Source organism: Homo sapiens, chromosome 8, assembly GCF_000001405.40.
Source record: "Homo sapiens chromosome 8, GRCh38.p14 Primary Assembly".
Taxonomy (NCBI): domain Eukaryota; kingdom Metazoa; phylum Chordata; class Mammalia; order Primates; family Hominidae; genus Homo; species Homo sapiens.
Genome location: NC_000008.11, coordinates 124,587,648 through 124,603,399, shown reverse-complemented (window position 1 = coordinate 124,603,399; position 15,752 = coordinate 124,587,648). Strand labels below are relative to the sequence as shown.

Below are 15,752 nucleotides of genomic sequence, written 5' to 3'. Positions count from 1 at the left end.
GAAACAGCAGCAAGCGTGGAAGTCCTGCGTGCATCAGGAGCACTCTGCTAATTAAAGGCAAGAGTGGGATGCCTGGCCAGGCACTGTGGCTCACACCTGTAATCCCAGCACTTTGGGAGGCTGAGGCGGGCAGATCACTTGAGGTCAGGAGTTCGAGACCAGCCTAGCCAACATGGTGAAACCTCATCTCTACTAAAAATACAAAAATTAGCCAGGAGTGGTGGCGCACGCCTGTAATCCCAGATACTTGGGAGGCTGAGGCAGGAGAATTGCTTGAACCCGGGAGGTGTAGGTTGTGGTGAGCTGAGATGGTGCCACTGCACTCCAGCCTGGGCAACAGAGCAAGACTACATCTCAGAAAGAACAAAAAGAGTGGGATGCCCAACAGCAAGGAACTGCTGGTTTGTTGCTTTGTGAGTTTTCTAAGGCACCTTCCAGCTCTAAGGTTACCATGACGATCCGTCATTTCCAATTACAGGAGATGCCCACTCTATGGGGGCAGGCGGCTGTCTCTTTACTTCGTAGCACAATAATTAGACCAAGGTAACATTTCCTAAAAATTTGTTGACTACAGGAACACTGTCCTTTCTCCACTCCAGCATCTTGGTTGCCAGGAAGAGGGGTCATCCAGTCTAACCTGGAGATCACCTAAGAGATCCACCTTATAGACCCCCAGGCTGATGTACCCACCTCTAGCCGAGGTCTGGCTAGCCCCTTGCCTGGAGCTTCCTTACTGATCAGTTATTTTGTTGGTCTGGGTTATAGTTGTCCACCTACTAGCCTTTTGGGTTTTGCCCCTTGGTCTAGATCAAGCTTGTTCAACCTGCAGGCCTCACATGGCTCAGGATGGCTTTGAATGCAGCCCAACACAAATTTGTGAGCTTTCTTAAACCATTATGAGGCCGGGCATGGTGGCTCACATCTGTAATCCTAGCACTTTGGGAGGTCGAGGTGGGGGAATCACTTGAGGCCAGGAGTTCAAGACTAGCCTGGCCAACATGGCGAAACCCCATCTCTACTAAAAATACAAAACTTAGCCAGGTGTAGTAGTGCACACTTGTAGCCCCAGCTGTTTGGGAGGCTGAGGTGGGAGGATTGCTTGCACCCAGGAGGCGGAGGTTGCAGTGAGCCGTGATCACACCACTGCACTCCAGCCTGGATGACAGAGTGAGACCGTGTCTCAAAAAAAAATTATATATATATATATATATGTATATATATGAGATTTATTTGTGATTTTTTTTTTTTAGTAGCTGTTGTTTGTGTTAGTGTATTTTATATGTGGCCCAAGACAATTCCTCTTCCACTGTGGCCCAGGGAAGCCAAAAGATTGGACACACCTGGTCGAAATCTTTGGGTAAAGCATTGTCTTAGCTAGGGCATCATGATTGAACTTTTCCAGGCCTAAGAATTGAGCTTCCTCTTCTCTTATTAGAATTCAGGTTCACACTCTGATGCCATTTGGAAACACTCTTACTTTCCTTTGAAGACTGTGTTCTGTCACTTCACCTTATAAAATAAAAAAATCCTGAAACATGCCAGTGCGATTGCAGAAGAGGAGTGCCCAGCTTCATGGTCAAGTCTGACGCTCGTGTGTGCGTGTGTGCAGAGCTGTGTAGCCGTGGCTAGTGCTGGCCTCCAGGCATCCCCCGGGGCAGCAGATGGTGTACCCAGCCTTGCCCTGCTCGGTCCAGCCAGAGTGGCAGTGATGCACGCTGAGGCAACTTCTGTGATGCAACACCCGGGCAGTCCTCCAGCCCGCCGTCAAGGTGAAAAGACCCCTGCCAATTTAGGACTTCTGGGCTCTCTGAGAGCAGGGGCTTGAGAGGAAGGAGAGACTATTTTCTCATATAGTGAAACTAAAATATTACAACCTGCCATGAGCCATTGCAGCAGTGTCCCTAAGTGGCCCTGAGCGTCCCATGACACAGTCCCGAGCCCTGGATTTTGTAGGAGCTTTCCTTTTCATTCTTGGCTGGAAGGAAGCTGGTGATGCAACTGTTGTGAGCTCTGAAATATAAAAATTAACAGTCAAGGGGGCTGGGCACAGTGGCTCATGCCTATAATCCCAGCACTTTGGGAGGTCAAGGCGGGTGGATCACCAGAGGTCAGGAGTTCGAGACCAGCTTGGCCAACATGGTGAAACCCCGTCTCTACTAAAAATACAAAAAATTAGTCAGGCATGGTGGTGGGCGCCTATAATCTCAGGTACTCGGGTGGCTGAGGCAGGAGAATTGCTTGAACCCGGGAGGTGGAGGTTGCAGTGAGCGGAGGTCACGCCACTGCACTCCAGCCTAGGCAACAGAGTGAGACTCAAAAAAAAAAAAAAAAAAAAAATTACAGTCAAGGGAAACCTAGGGTCAAGGTCACTTTAAAAAGCTGTTCAGCCAAGGGCAACGGCCTTCCTGTTTTGAAGGGGTGGGGGCAGAGGATGGAGGCTCACTGGAGTTGGTTTTCATGAGCCTCCCGGTCCCCCAGCTTTCACTTCCCATTAAATAACCACGTTGTGGATGCGTAACAATTAATAAGTACAAACAGAACCTTCCAGGCAAGCCCTCTGGGCCGCTCCTTCTAGGCCTTTGGTCTTCTGAGATGTTTGGGAAGAAGGAATAATTCTGGCTTTCTTGAAAGCTGCCCTTTGCACTGTTCATTTGCCCTCTAAGTACTGATTTGCCAGCTCCTTAGAGAAAGTGGATATTAGATGTGGGAGGAGTGGGGGTCATGATCTGTTGTCCAGTGTGTCCTTATGGACAGATGCCCCAGCCCAGCCACATTTACTTACTCCGGCCTCTGCCTTCCTGTAGGACTCAGCTTATAGCTACATCACCGCTCTGCCTAATGGGAGCACTGATGTAACCAGTGCTCCTTATTTTCTCTGTAAAATATTCCAGCCCCTGCCTTCAGGAAGCTCACAGACTCTCTCTCTAGCATGCGCACACACACTTCTCACACCTGGGTTGTAGGCTTCACCAGCATCCGCTGTGTGCGCTTATAAACCTGTAAATGCCAGTTGCACATACTGTTGTTAAATAATTTAATTATAAGCTATGTAAATGTTTGCAGTGTGAATGTGAAAACCAAGATTTGTCATTTCTACAAAAGAAGTAGAATGTTTAGAAAGATATGATATTAATAAAAGTTACTTTTGCAAAAAAAAAATGCCATCGAATTAAGTATGGATGAGGCAACTGTAAAAGATTTGGGAACAAAATTTGTAAAAATCTAGGATATTCAGATTGCTTCACAAGAAGCCCGACATGGAAATCACAGATGATGCATTTTGGGTGTGATTTATGCAACAAAGATAGCATGAGACACTGGTCAGCATATTTGGTTTTTTTTTTGTTTTTTTTTTTTTTGTAGTACAACCATCTACGTTTGAGCCTACGCCAGGCAGACCCTTGCAAAGACCACACAGACAGCAAATGTGGGAGCTGGGCTTTGAAGCCACATTGGCTAATTTCAGAGCTAAGCCTTTCACCCTGTGGTTCTCTGCTTATCCTCCTGCTCATTTAGACGATAGTAAGGAGTCTCTGCTAAGACTCTAGATTAGCCATGGTGAGAGACACTGTTGCTACTGAAACTCTATGGCTTGCAGGCTGCGTGGAGTGTGCCTGCCATCCAAGTGTGTGGGAAAGAGGAGACAGATGGGAATACAGCTGCCAAGGAGCCCCAAGACCGTTTTGGAGGTCATTTGGGGGAGGAGGGGGTCACTTACCTCAATAGGTAAGTTTTTGGTGTGTATCTGTTTTAGAAAAAGATTCCTGATACAGTCACAGGCGAGCCTACACTCACATTTGTTATATTTGGTGTGTGTGGTAGTTATGTGCCCAGGAACCAAAGATTTCCACTTTACTTAGATCTTTCATTTCTTTTTTCTTTTTCTTTCTCTCTCTCTTTTTTTTTTTTTTTTTTTTGAGACGGAGTCTCATTCTGTCCCCCAGGCTGGAGTGCAGTGGCGTGATCTTGGCTCACTGCAACCTCTGCCTCCCGGGTTCAAGTGATTCTCCTGCCTCAGCCTCCTGAGTAGCCGGGATTACAGGCACCCACCACCGTGCTGGCTAATTTTTGTATTTTTAGTAGAGACAGGGTTTCACCATGTTGGCCAGGCTGGTCTCAAACTCCTGACCTCAGGCAATCGGCCCGCCTCGGCCTCCCAAAGTGTTGGGGATTACAGGCGTGAGCCACCGCACCCGGCTACTTAGATCTTTTAAACTTGAACCCTAGTGGGTACAGTAATCAATTTCACTGTGGGGGAACGGGAGCTGCTGTTCAAGCGCACAGGGTCCCTTCCATCAGCAGGCGGCAAGGGCAATGGGGAGGGAGCAACCACTGGTGTTAGGGTTCCAGCTGCTGTTTTGTAGACATCTTCAGGGACACTTTGGGGCTGGCTGTTTATTGCTGGTTGGTGTCCAGACAGAAGTCACAAGCCATTGAGTGGTTGGAGGTGGCTTTCTTATCCACCACCCATTCTTCCTCCACTTTCTAGCTGGGTCCCGTGAAGGAGCTCTTCCTAACCAGACAGCTGCGGCCTTAGATCCTGCTGATGCAGCTCCTCAGGCTCCCTCTCCTAGTTATTTGGGTATTTCCAGTATTTTGGGCTTGTACACAAGCTGCCCCTAGTTGAATTAATGCATCCCTAAGGCCATAGGAGAGGGGGTTAGTGCCTGCTGGCTTTGTGGGGAATGTCAGTTGTGTGTTTTCAAATTAGTGTTTCTTTAATGGCAAGTGGAACATTTTCTTCATTATGAGAACATGTGTTGCCTATTATCTCTGTGCTTATGAAGATGGGGGTAGGCAGTGAACTTAATAGCTTTTCAGAGCTTCTGCAGCGAGGGTTTGCGGGGAGGCCACTGGTGCAGTGAGCATGTCAGGTGGCTTCCCTGGAACAGCACTGGAAACAGTGAGCCCTCCTTATGGAAAAAGGATGCATGTTCCTACGCCAGTGCTCACCAGGGACGAGTTTGCCCCCTGGGGACATTTCTAGTTGTCATGACTTGAGGGATGTTACTGGCATCTAGTGGGTAGAGGCCAGGGAGGCTGCAAAACATCCTACAATACACAGGACACAAAAAATGATCATTCCTTTTTTTCTTGCTTTTTTCTTTTGAGACAGGGTCTCAGTCACTCAGGCTGGAGTGTGGTGGTGTGATCATAGCTCACTGTAGCCTTGAGCTCCTGAGTTCAAGCGATCCTCTCACCTCAGCCTCCTGAGTGGCTGGGACTGCAGGCATACACCGCCACACCCAGTTAATTATTTATTTATTAATTTATTTGTAGAGATGGGGTCTTGCTGTGTTGCTAGTTGGTATCGCTTAAAGCCAGAAGTTTGAGACCAAACTTAAGTGATCCTCCTGCCTCAGCCTTCCAGAGTGTTGGGATTATAGGCATGGCCATCATGCCTGGCCCAAAATGGTCATTATTGATAACAAAAAATGATCCGGTTCAAAATGTCAGCAGGGCTGAGGCCGAGATACCCCACTCTAGTGAACTCTCCTGCCCTGCACCCCTCTCCTGCAGAGATGCCTGAGAGCGTTCTCCTCTCCTCTGGTTCTGTCTGGCTCCTAATTAGCCTTCGAGCAATGTCAGCTCTCGGGAACAGCAGAGATGCACAGTGACTTACTGTGACGGCGGCACACTTTCACCAAAGCAGTTCTTCAGTCTGGCTTCCTCAGCCCTTCCCCTCCACGCTGCAGAAGCTGGGCCTGACAAAACGTCTTTTCAGTCCTCGCTCGCCACCTGCCCACACTGTAGCCCCCAAGAATGCCTGCCATTAGTCCCCTGCTATGCAGGGAGATGGCAGCTGCCTGCAAATGAGGCAGCTTGGAGGGACAGGACAATGCCACTCGAAGGACCCACCGTCCTGCCTGTCGCTGCCAGGTCTCTGCAGCAAGGGGCAATCTGACTTCGGACTTTAGGGGGCAAGGAAACTTTGCTTTTCTTATTTCCTCCCTACCCCCCCAAATATGCATTAAACAATTTGTATTCTGTTTGTGACTTTAATGTGCCTCTTTGTCCTCAGCTGGGAATGTCTCCAGCTTGTCGTAGTGAGAGAGAGCCCTTGGTATCCGTAGAAGCAGGCTTGGATTTTGGCTCTACTGCTGACCAGCAATGTGGCCCTCAGCAAGGTTGTTAACCCTCCTGAGCCTCAGGTGTTTTCATTTGTAACATGGGGCTGATAATGCCTACCACAGAGGGTTGCTGTCAGGACAGTGTTCCCTGCACCATTTTATCTGTGTCCATCCAACCAATCTTTGTAAGCTGCTCAAGGGCCTGGCACCTGTCTTCACCGTCCTTGAAATCACGTTAGTTTTTGCTGCACGGTAGGATGTGGGCCGTGGACTGCGGCGCACCCCCAGAAAGATAGGTTGATGTCCTAATCCCTGGCGCCCGGGAATGTGACCATTTGGACACAGGGTCTTTGCTGATGTAATCCAGTTAGGATGAGGTCATTAAGGTGGGCCCTAATCCAATAGGACTGGGGTCTTTATAGGAAGAGGGAAATTTAGACACACACACACAGGAATGCCTTCACACGTGTCTTATGGGAAGATGGACACACACAGGCCGTGAGCCTAGCACAACAGAGGCAGAAATTTGAACAATGCAGCTGCAAGCCAAGGAATGCTGGAGTCACCAGCAGCAAGGAGAAGGCAAGGAAGGACTCTCCCTGTAGGTTTTAGAGGGAGCACGGCCCTGCCGACATCTGGATTTCAGATTTTTAGCCTCCAGAACTACGGTTGCTTTAAGCCAGCCAGTTTGGGTTGCTTTGTTACAGCAGCCCCCAAAAGCCAATACAAATACTCAGTGGACGCTTGTGGATCGTGTGTCTTCATATGCAAAATGTATGGTGCTGGGCCTCAGCAGTCATGCTTTGGCAGCCCAGCCCCTGGATGGTTCACTTCTTCCTTTCCACTGATGATTCCTTCACAGATCACCCACAGATCATACTGGCTGATTTTGTGCTGCTTTATTAGAAAAGCATTTGCTTGTTATGGGAGAAAGTTTTTACATGTACCACGTTGAATCGGGTTATGTTTTTGCCATAAAGTATTTGTGCCTCTCTAAGCAGTGGCATCAAGTGACCAACTTAGATTTCTTTTAGCAACACGTTGGTTCCTGGTTCTGGGAAGAAGCATGAGAGGCCATTGCTCCTTTCTTTCTTCTCCTTTCAAGAAGCAGAACCAAATCAAAGTGGCTCTAAAAATAAGAAAATGAATATGCTTGCAAAACTGGGGTGCCAGGCCCAGAGGAAGAGCAGGTTCGGGTTGGTGGCTAAGGGACATCACTGGAGACTCAGGCCCTTTCTCTTCTGTCCACAGCAGTGTCATCCTGAGGCAGGTGTCCCCATGGCCATAGGATGGCTGATGGCAGCAGCTGCACAGTCTGCTTCCTTGTTTGTGGCCTGTGGAACCCTTTGGTGTGTTTCTCTTAAGATCAGGAAAACATTCCCCAGAGGCCTCCCCAGCAGCCTCCTCTCCATGTCTTTGTCCCATCCCTGAAGCAGCCACTGCCAAAGGGGATGGAGTTAGCATCATGGGCCTAGACCGATCATGTGAGGGCGAATGGGTGCTGCAGTCAGCCACAGTGCCCTGCCACACTCTCCAGATTCACAACTCTTACCTTTTTTTAATGGCCATGATAAGGATGCCCCAAAGATGTCCACGTTCTAACCCCTAGAACCTGTGAATGTTACTGTACGTGGCCAAAGGGGTCTCTGCTGATGTGTGGTGATGTGGTTAAGGGTCTTGAGGCAGGGAGGTGATCCTGGATGATCCAGGTGGGTCCCACATAATCACAAGGATTCTCATAAGAAGGAGGCAGGAAAATTGGAGGCGGAGAGAGAAGATGTAAGGACAGAAGCAGAAGTCAGAGAAGGGAGTAGATTGCACCGCTGGCTTTGAAGATGGACAAAGGGGCCACGAGCCAAGGAGTGCAGGCAGCCTCTAGAAGTGGGAAAAGGCAAGGAAATAGATTCTCCCCTGCAGCCTCCAGAAGGAATGCCAGCCCTGTGGTACCTGACACCCTGATATTAGACCAGTGAAACTGATTTTGGACTTCTGACTTCCAGAACTATAAGATAATAAACTTCTGTTGTTTTAAGCCACTAAGCTCGTGGTCATTTATTACAGCAGCAAAGGGAAACGAATACAGCATTGTATCTCTAGGCTGACCAGGAATCAATATAGAACTTTGCTAAGATTAAGCATCTTGTTTTTATTTTATATCTTTTAAACAAGTATGTGGGGATTAAACAAGATACAAACCCAGTCCCTGGTCCTGCCTCCAGATAGGGCCAGCCTGGTGGTTTGCTCTCAAAATGGTAAATGTCCGTTCCTTTATTCAACACCAGTGCTAGGTACCGAGAACACAGAAGTAGGGCCTTGTCTTCACTCAAGCTGCTGTGTGTGCCTCAGCCAGCCATTTGTTTCCACAAATATGCCCACTCGCAAATGGGAGCTCTTCCAGATGTCTTCTGTCTTTGTAGCTCAAGCCAGTTTCCTCTGAAGCTTATTCAAACCTGCTGATTTTTGTTTAAGTTCTTGCAAGGGTTAGGAAGAGCATAAGATGTTAAGCACTTCCACAGATGGACCTATTTTTAGGGTGCCCCATGTTGCCGAGATCAGCAGTGATTCTAATAGCTCAGTCCTGGGGTCCACAGAGGATGTCATCTGCCTCCTGTCTTCGTGCCAGTTGGACAGAGACACTGCTGTTTGGAAGTTTTCTTTGTGGTTCTTTATTTCCTCTCCTCTCTAGGGCTTCCTGTTCTACAGAGGCACATACATTATGTCTAGAAATTGTTTTTATTGTACCATAGTTCAGCTATTTCCTTTCCTTTCCTTTCCTTTATTTCTTTTGTTGTTGTTGTTGAGACAGAGTCTCAGTCTGTTGCCCAGGTTGAAGTGCAGTGGCGCAGTCTCAGCTCACTGTAACCTCCACCTCCTGGGTTCAAGCGATTCTCAAGCTACTCCTCCCAAGTAGGTGGGATTACAAGCATGTGCCACCACACCTGGCTGATTTTTGTATTTTTAGTAGAGATGAGGTTTCATCATGTTGGCCAGGCTGGTCTCGAACTCCTGACCTCAGGTGATCCGCCCGCCTCAGCCTTCCAAAGTGCTGGGGTTACAGGCGTGAGCCACTGAGCCCGGCCAGTTCATCTGTTTCTGAGAAGCCTTGGGCTTTCCTGGGGATAATAAGTGACCAGTGGCAATCTATGGGAAATACCTGGGAAGGTGACAGAAGCAGTGAAGCAGAGAAACGGAGTGGGGGCACTGACATTTGAGATGATCTTTTCCAACATCATAATTCTATCTTGAGGAAACTGAGGCATGAATTATCCATGAAGCAGCTCTCCATCCCTGAACTCCCTATAGTAGCTTAGCAAGGATGGAGCGCAATCCCTGTTGGTACTGATTAGACAGGGCCAGGCTCTAGAAGCAAAATATGAGAGCTGGCTTTAAAGCACCAACACCCGTAATAGCGTGTAGACCAATAAGTTTGGTGTACATTGTTCTAGGCTCTCGTCTCTGCTCTGTCCCATCTCCCTTTGTCCATCACAAGTGCCATATACCTGAGGGGATAAATGCATTGACGCTGGAGCTTAAGCCTAGGTTTGAGTTCCACTTACTAGTGACATAACCTGGGACAAATCACTTGGGCATTTTTCCTTTCTATAACATGGGATGGTCACAGTACTGATGCGGCTGGAGGTGCTGCGAGGATTAAATGAGTTGAAGTGTGCAGAGTACTCACAGCAGTGCCTGGCACATCCTAAGCGCTGTACGTCTTCCTGCAACCTTAAACGTTGTTCTCCAGTGTTTTAAATTACCACGTGCAATTCCATCGCATGGTGGTGCTCTATGGTTGATTTAACCAGATCCCTGTAATGGGATTTTGTTTCCAGTCTTTTGACGCTGTGAACAACATTTCGATGACTACCCTTGTAGGTAAGGACTTTCTTTCACTCTTAATCATTTCCGCAGGTTAAATTTCTGAAATGAGAATTGCTGGGTCAAAGAAAAATATTTCAAGGCTTTTCTTGATAGACGCTACCACATTTTGCTCCAGGAAAGTAGTAGTTTACACTCTTACCATCAGTGAGTGAGTGTGCCAGTTTCCTTGTGTGGCCGGGTTATTAACTTTTAATCAAACGAAGGCCCAGAAAGAAATAGGAAATATTTCCCGGGGAATAAAACGTTCCTCGTCTTTGCTTATATGCAGTAAAAAGCTCAGAACTTGGAGAGCGCAGAAGGCGGGGCAGAGTGTGTGAAAACGGCGCCCTCTGCTGGCTCTCCCTGGTGTGAACAGTGGTAGATGGCAACGCTGAGATGGCCGTGGCATCCCCTGCTCTTTGGAGGCAGGTACAGTTTTAAGAGACTCTGGTCATAAAAGTCAGATTCGGGCAACACTTGGCCCTCGCTTGGGTTCTTTTACAGCACTGGTTTCAACAGGAGTGATTTGTTGCCCAACACTTGGTACTCTCTGGAGACATTTTGGAGGATCACAAGTCTGGAGGTGAGGTTAAAGGAAGTCTGCTGTTGACTTCTGGTGGGTAGAGGCCAAGGATACTGCTAAACATCTCACACTGCACAGCCCAGTCCAGCCCAGCAACAAAGCAACATTCAGCCCAGGATGTCAACATTGTCCAGATTGAGAAAACCTTGTTTTTAGAGGAATAGAGGCCTTGCCCTCAGAAGGTTTCTCTCTTCAGACTGAAATAAAATATAGAAATATTAATATACGATATATATGTCACAGTTACTATTATTTGGTTGTAGAAACTTGATGGTTTTGCAAAATGAAATGGAAAACATGTGGAGCTGAAATAGTAAATGGGGATTTCTAGAAGAGAGGGCACAGGAAAATCCAACCCATAGTAATGTCACGAGTACTAATAAGAGAGGGAATGTTCTTCTACCAATTCAACATGGTTAAACCTGCCACAGATCCCTGTGGCTTTCCCCTGAAGGTCTTGTCTGTTAAAAATAGTGCTTTATTTGACACTTTTCCCCAAATTCACAAACACCAGTGTTTTCGTAATGTTCATAATTGTGCCCTCCAGTGTTCAGCGCAGAACTACCATGTGTGGTTATAATTTGCTCTCCCACGCCCCAGTAAATGCTGATTCAAGCATTGTTTTTAAGAGGGAGAAGGAAGAGAAGAGCTTTAAAAATAATGTTAGAGAAGGTGTGCCTGAAGGGGAAAAGTATGATGAGAATTTCGGGAAAATCAAACTGGGCTGCAACTTCCTTCATTATTTGCTGAGCTTGAAGACTGGTGTTGCTCAAGCCCATTTAAAAAATGTCCTATTACTGGCTGGGCATGGTGGCTCACGCCTGTAATCTTAGCACTTTGGGAGGCTGAGGTGGGTGGATCACCTGAGGTCAGGAGTTCGAGACCAGCCTGGCCAACATGGTGAAACTCTGTCTTTACTAAAAAAAAAATAAAAAAATCAGCTGGGTGTGGTGGCACGTGCCTGTAATCCCAGCTACTTAGGAGGCTGAGGCAGGAGAATTGTTTGAACCCAGGAGGTAGAGGTTGCAGTGAGCCTTGATTGCACCACTGCACTCCAGCCTGGGCAACACAGCAAGATTCCATCTCAAAAAAAAAAAGTCCTATTACCTCATTTTGCTTTAGCCTTGCTATTCTCTGAATTACTTGTATTCTAGAACATTTGTCTTGAAATAATTAGCTAGCGTGGCTGCCTTGGCTGTTCTAAATAATGTTAACGGGATTATTTTGTCAGAATTGTTGAGAAAAGCTACAGCTCTTCCCTAAACAGCAGATACTATATTGATTATCTTTCATGAGAAGTATTTTTCAAACTACAGGTCATGGTCGATTTATAGGTTGTAAAGTCAATTTTTAGATTACAATCAGCATTACAAAAAAAATCAGATGGAATAGAAACTAACAGAGTGTGGTATATAGTAGGAGCAGCCTTTGGTGATAGTTTTGGTGATACAGAAATCTGTCACCATACGTACATACATGTTTACATGTGCCTGTGTGTATGCACACATGGGCATGGTGAGAAGCTTCTAAAGATGGTGGCTTATATTTTACAATGTGGTGAAATCTGACTTGTTTGTAAAGTTCTCTAAAGACCTCCATGATCCCTGCTAGTCTTCTATCCCTCACCTTTGCCTCTGTTGCTTTTTCAGGTGGGACCAGGGAGATTGGATCTGCTCTCACCAGGATGTGCATGAGGCACAGAAGCATTGAAGCCAAGCTGAGGCAGTTTTCGAGGTGAGGAGCATGTTTTGGCCCCGATCGCCAACACCCTTGCAGATTTCAGGTTAAGGAAGCAGTCATGTGTGGCACACAGCATTTAAATCCCCACAATCTGTCTGACTTGGCTCATTCATTGCCTGAGTATTGTTAGGCATCTGCTGCATACCAGGCACTGGTCGAGGCCCTGGGGGTGCAGCAGATCACCAGCCAGCCAGGCCCCTGCCTTCACAGAGCCTGTGCTCCTGCATGGGTCTCTCCTTACCCTTTGTCTGTGCAAGGAGCCGGTGCAGCCTGCTGAGGTCTTTTGGGCCCCCACTGCCCTGCGGGAGCCTCGCAAGAAGAGGGGCTGTGAAATTGGAGAGTGAGATGTGCCTTGGTATCCTGTGTGCATCCTCCAGACTCACTGAGGGATGTGGCAGCTCACAGACCACTCCACACCGCCAGCTTCCCATCTGGCTTCCAGGCATCCAGAATAGGGAAGAAATGGTAGTAGCTGGCACCGGAATTGGGTTACAAATGTTCAAGTGAAAATGGACATTGCTTTCCAAGCAGATCAGCATCATTCAGCAGTTTTATGTGATTCTGTTTGGGAGACTGCACAAAATGAAGGGGCACACCTTCAGAGACCTTCACCCCTCAGTAACCCCGAGGCTGGCAGTGCAGCTCGAGAATTTTCTGGGTCTCGTCACTCTTCTCTTTCTCCAGGCTGTGCATACTTAGTGTATATTTATGACCTGTCATGCCGCATGCACAGCAGAATCTTGTGGGTCTTTTTTAAAAATAGTGATGCTGGGCCCCACCCTCAAAGTCTCCATTGGGGGTGAGATAAGGCCCAGGTGTCTTTGCATTTTGGGGGTCCCTGTTGTGCAGCTCTCAGAGGGGTGACCCCTGTGGTTCTGCAACTTGGCTTGTTAATACAAACACTAGAATATCACAGGGAAAATGGGAAGAAGGGTCACTCCCACCAGTCACATTGACAGCTTCTTAGTAGTCATTGAAAAACATTCTTGGGGCCAGGCGCGGTGGCTCTCGCCTGTAATCCCAGCACTTTGGGAGGCCAAGGCAGGCGGCTCATGAGGTCAGGAGATCAAGACCATCCTGGCCAACATGGTGAAAACCCATCTCTACTAAAATACAAAAAATTAGTTGGGCATGGTGATGTGTTCCTGTAGTCCCAGCTACCTGGGAGGCTGAGGCAGGGGAATCGCTTGAACCTGGGAGGTGGTGGTTGCAGTGAGCCGAGATCGCGCCACTGCACTCCAGCCTGGTGACAGAGCGAGACTCTGTCTTAAAAGAAAAGCATTCTTGGAACATGGCTGTTCTGGAGCCCCGGGGTTTAGATGAGAACGTTTCGGGTAATTGTGATTTAGGTATGTTTTGACAACCACATTTAAATCCTGACAACAGAATGTATCTATTTAATTTCTCCCTTTTTCCCCCCCGCTTGGTAAAAGCGCTTTAATTGATTGTCTGATAAACCCACTTCAAGAACAGATGGAAGAATGGAAGAAAGTGGCCAACCAGCTGGATAAAGACCACGCAAAAGGTACAGGGGCGAGATGTCTAGCGCATCACTGCACGCTGGGGGGCGCTGTGGGAAGTTGCCAGCTGCTGCCTGGCCCCTCTGCTAGGTTTATTGGTGTCACCAAAACAGCCAAGGGCCCACTCTGTCCCTACTCTCCTGTAGGCACGTCCGTGTCAGGGGATGAGGAGAACAAAGTGATCCCGTTGTGAGGCTGAGTGCTGTTTCTTTGGTGTGAAACAACATTCAGCAGCTGATAGTCTGATCCCTCAGTGGCATGAATTGTATTCAGCTGAATTAAGAATAAATCACAGGGTGGGCGCGGTGGCTCAGACCTGTAATCCCGGCACTTTGGGAGGCCGAGGCGGGCGGATCACTTGAGGTCAGGAGTTTGAGACCAGCCTGGCCAACATGTTGAAACCCCATCTCTACTAAAAACACAAAAATTAGCCAAGCATGGTGGTGGGTGCCTGTAATCCCAGCTACTTGGGAGGCTGAGACACAAAAATCGCTTGAACCCGGGAGTCAGAGGTTGCAGTGAGCCAAGATTGCACCATTGTACTCCAGCCTGGACGACAGAGTGAGACTCCATCTCAAAAAACAAAAAAAAAGAAAAAGAAGAAATCATAGGCCGGGTGCAGTGGCTCACACCTGTAATTCCAGCACTTCAGGAGGCTCAGGTGGGCAGATCACTTGAGTCCAGGAGTCTGAGACCAGCCTGGCCAACTTGGTGAAACCCTATGGCTACTAAAAATACAAAAAGTATCCAGGTGTGGTGGTGCATGCCTGTAATCCCAACTACTCGGGAGGCTGAGACACGAGAATTGTTTGAACCCAGGAGGCAGAGGTTGCAGTAAGCAGAGATTGCACCACTGCACTCCAGCCTGGGTGACAGAGCAAGACACTGCCTCCCCCTAACCCTCCAAAGAAGTGAAAATCATCATGGCAGGTTTAAATGCCAAACATTTATACTTAAGGCATTTCAGCACATTTTGAAAGCCAGACTTTTAATGATATAAGCTTACCCTAGGTCTCCTGCCCATTCTCTTTGTGCGTTGTCCCAGGTCGGTGAGACAAGTCTTTGTGAACTGGTTGAGTGAGTTGTCAGGGACCTTGATGGTATGAGAGGAACTAAGTGTAATCTGCACAGCAAATAGCACTGATGCTTTCGAGTGAGAGTGTTTGTGTTCCCTTCACACAGGCCAACCAGACCTTCGTAAGAGCTTCTCATCCCCTGTTCAGGTCATTCTGATGCTTTTTACATGCTAGGCGCTATGGGGGCTACAGAAGGATGAGTGTGGTATCTACTGAAACAGAAATAAATTAACCCTGTTACAAAGCAAAGTAGAAGACTGCAATGAAGACCCAACCGGGTGCTCTGGGAGTGTGAATGGTGGCTCCTAAAACAGGCCTCTTTGTGACTATGGGGATGGTTTATTCTGCCTGCTTCAAGCTATATCATGAAAATCATTCTATGTCCCCAGCAACTATCAGTAGCCACCAGAAAGTTGCCGGTTCATTCAAATTATTCACCCCTCCCCTCATCATGCACCTATGCTACTGAGTACTTACCGTATTTCATGCCCGTGCATGCTCTGGAGCCACAGAAATAAATAAGTTGGTCTTGGTTTTTGGTGCACGTCCTTTAACTTTGTCTATCACAGACAACAGACTCCTGAAGTCGTGTCTTCATTGTTATTGGAAATCAGTCTTATGTAGAACTTCAACAAACCATTTTGATAAAAGAACCAGGGAGGGTGATGGCTTATTTGTGTTGAGATTCAGAAGTATGGGTACAATAGCCAAATACTTAGCAGTTATATTAAAAAAGTTAATATAGGCCAGGCGTGGTGGCTCATGCCTGTAATCCCAGCATTTTGGGAGGCCGAGGCGGGTGGATCACTTGAGGTCAGGAGTTCAAGACCAGCCTGGCCAACATGGCAAAACCCCACCTCCACTAAAAATACAAAAAAACCAATTAGCTGGGCGTGGTGGC

At 47.6% G+C, this 15,752-nt stretch overlaps 1 protein-coding gene across 34 annotated transcripts in view, besides 1 other annotated feature; it reads left to right on the top strand.

The window, feature by feature from the left end:
* The window catches only part of MTSS1 (MTSS I-BAR domain containing 1), a 177,690-nt gene that overhangs the window by 125,074 nt on the left and 36,864 nt on the right, over positions 1 to 15,752 (top strand). For all 34 annotated transcript variants that reach the window (XM_047422493.1, NM_001363301.2, XM_047422490.1 and 31 more), the window contains 2 exons: positions 12,165 to 12,249; positions 13,689 to 13,780. In XM_047422493.1, coding sequence (XP_047278449.1) covers positions 12,165 to 12,249; positions 13,689 to 13,780 — 177 coding nt within the window. The remainder of the gene's footprint in view (positions 1 to 12,164; positions 12,250 to 13,688; positions 13,781 to 15,752) is intronic.
* Positions 10,325 to 10,604: an enhancer, noted in NCBI's record as "active region_27887". NCBI's record gives its function as "activates an Ori minimal core promoter by ATAC-STARR-seq in GM12878 lymphoblastoid cells {active_cell/tissue: GM12878}" and the evidence as "EXISTENCE:reporter gene assay evidence [ECO:0000049][PMID:35858748]".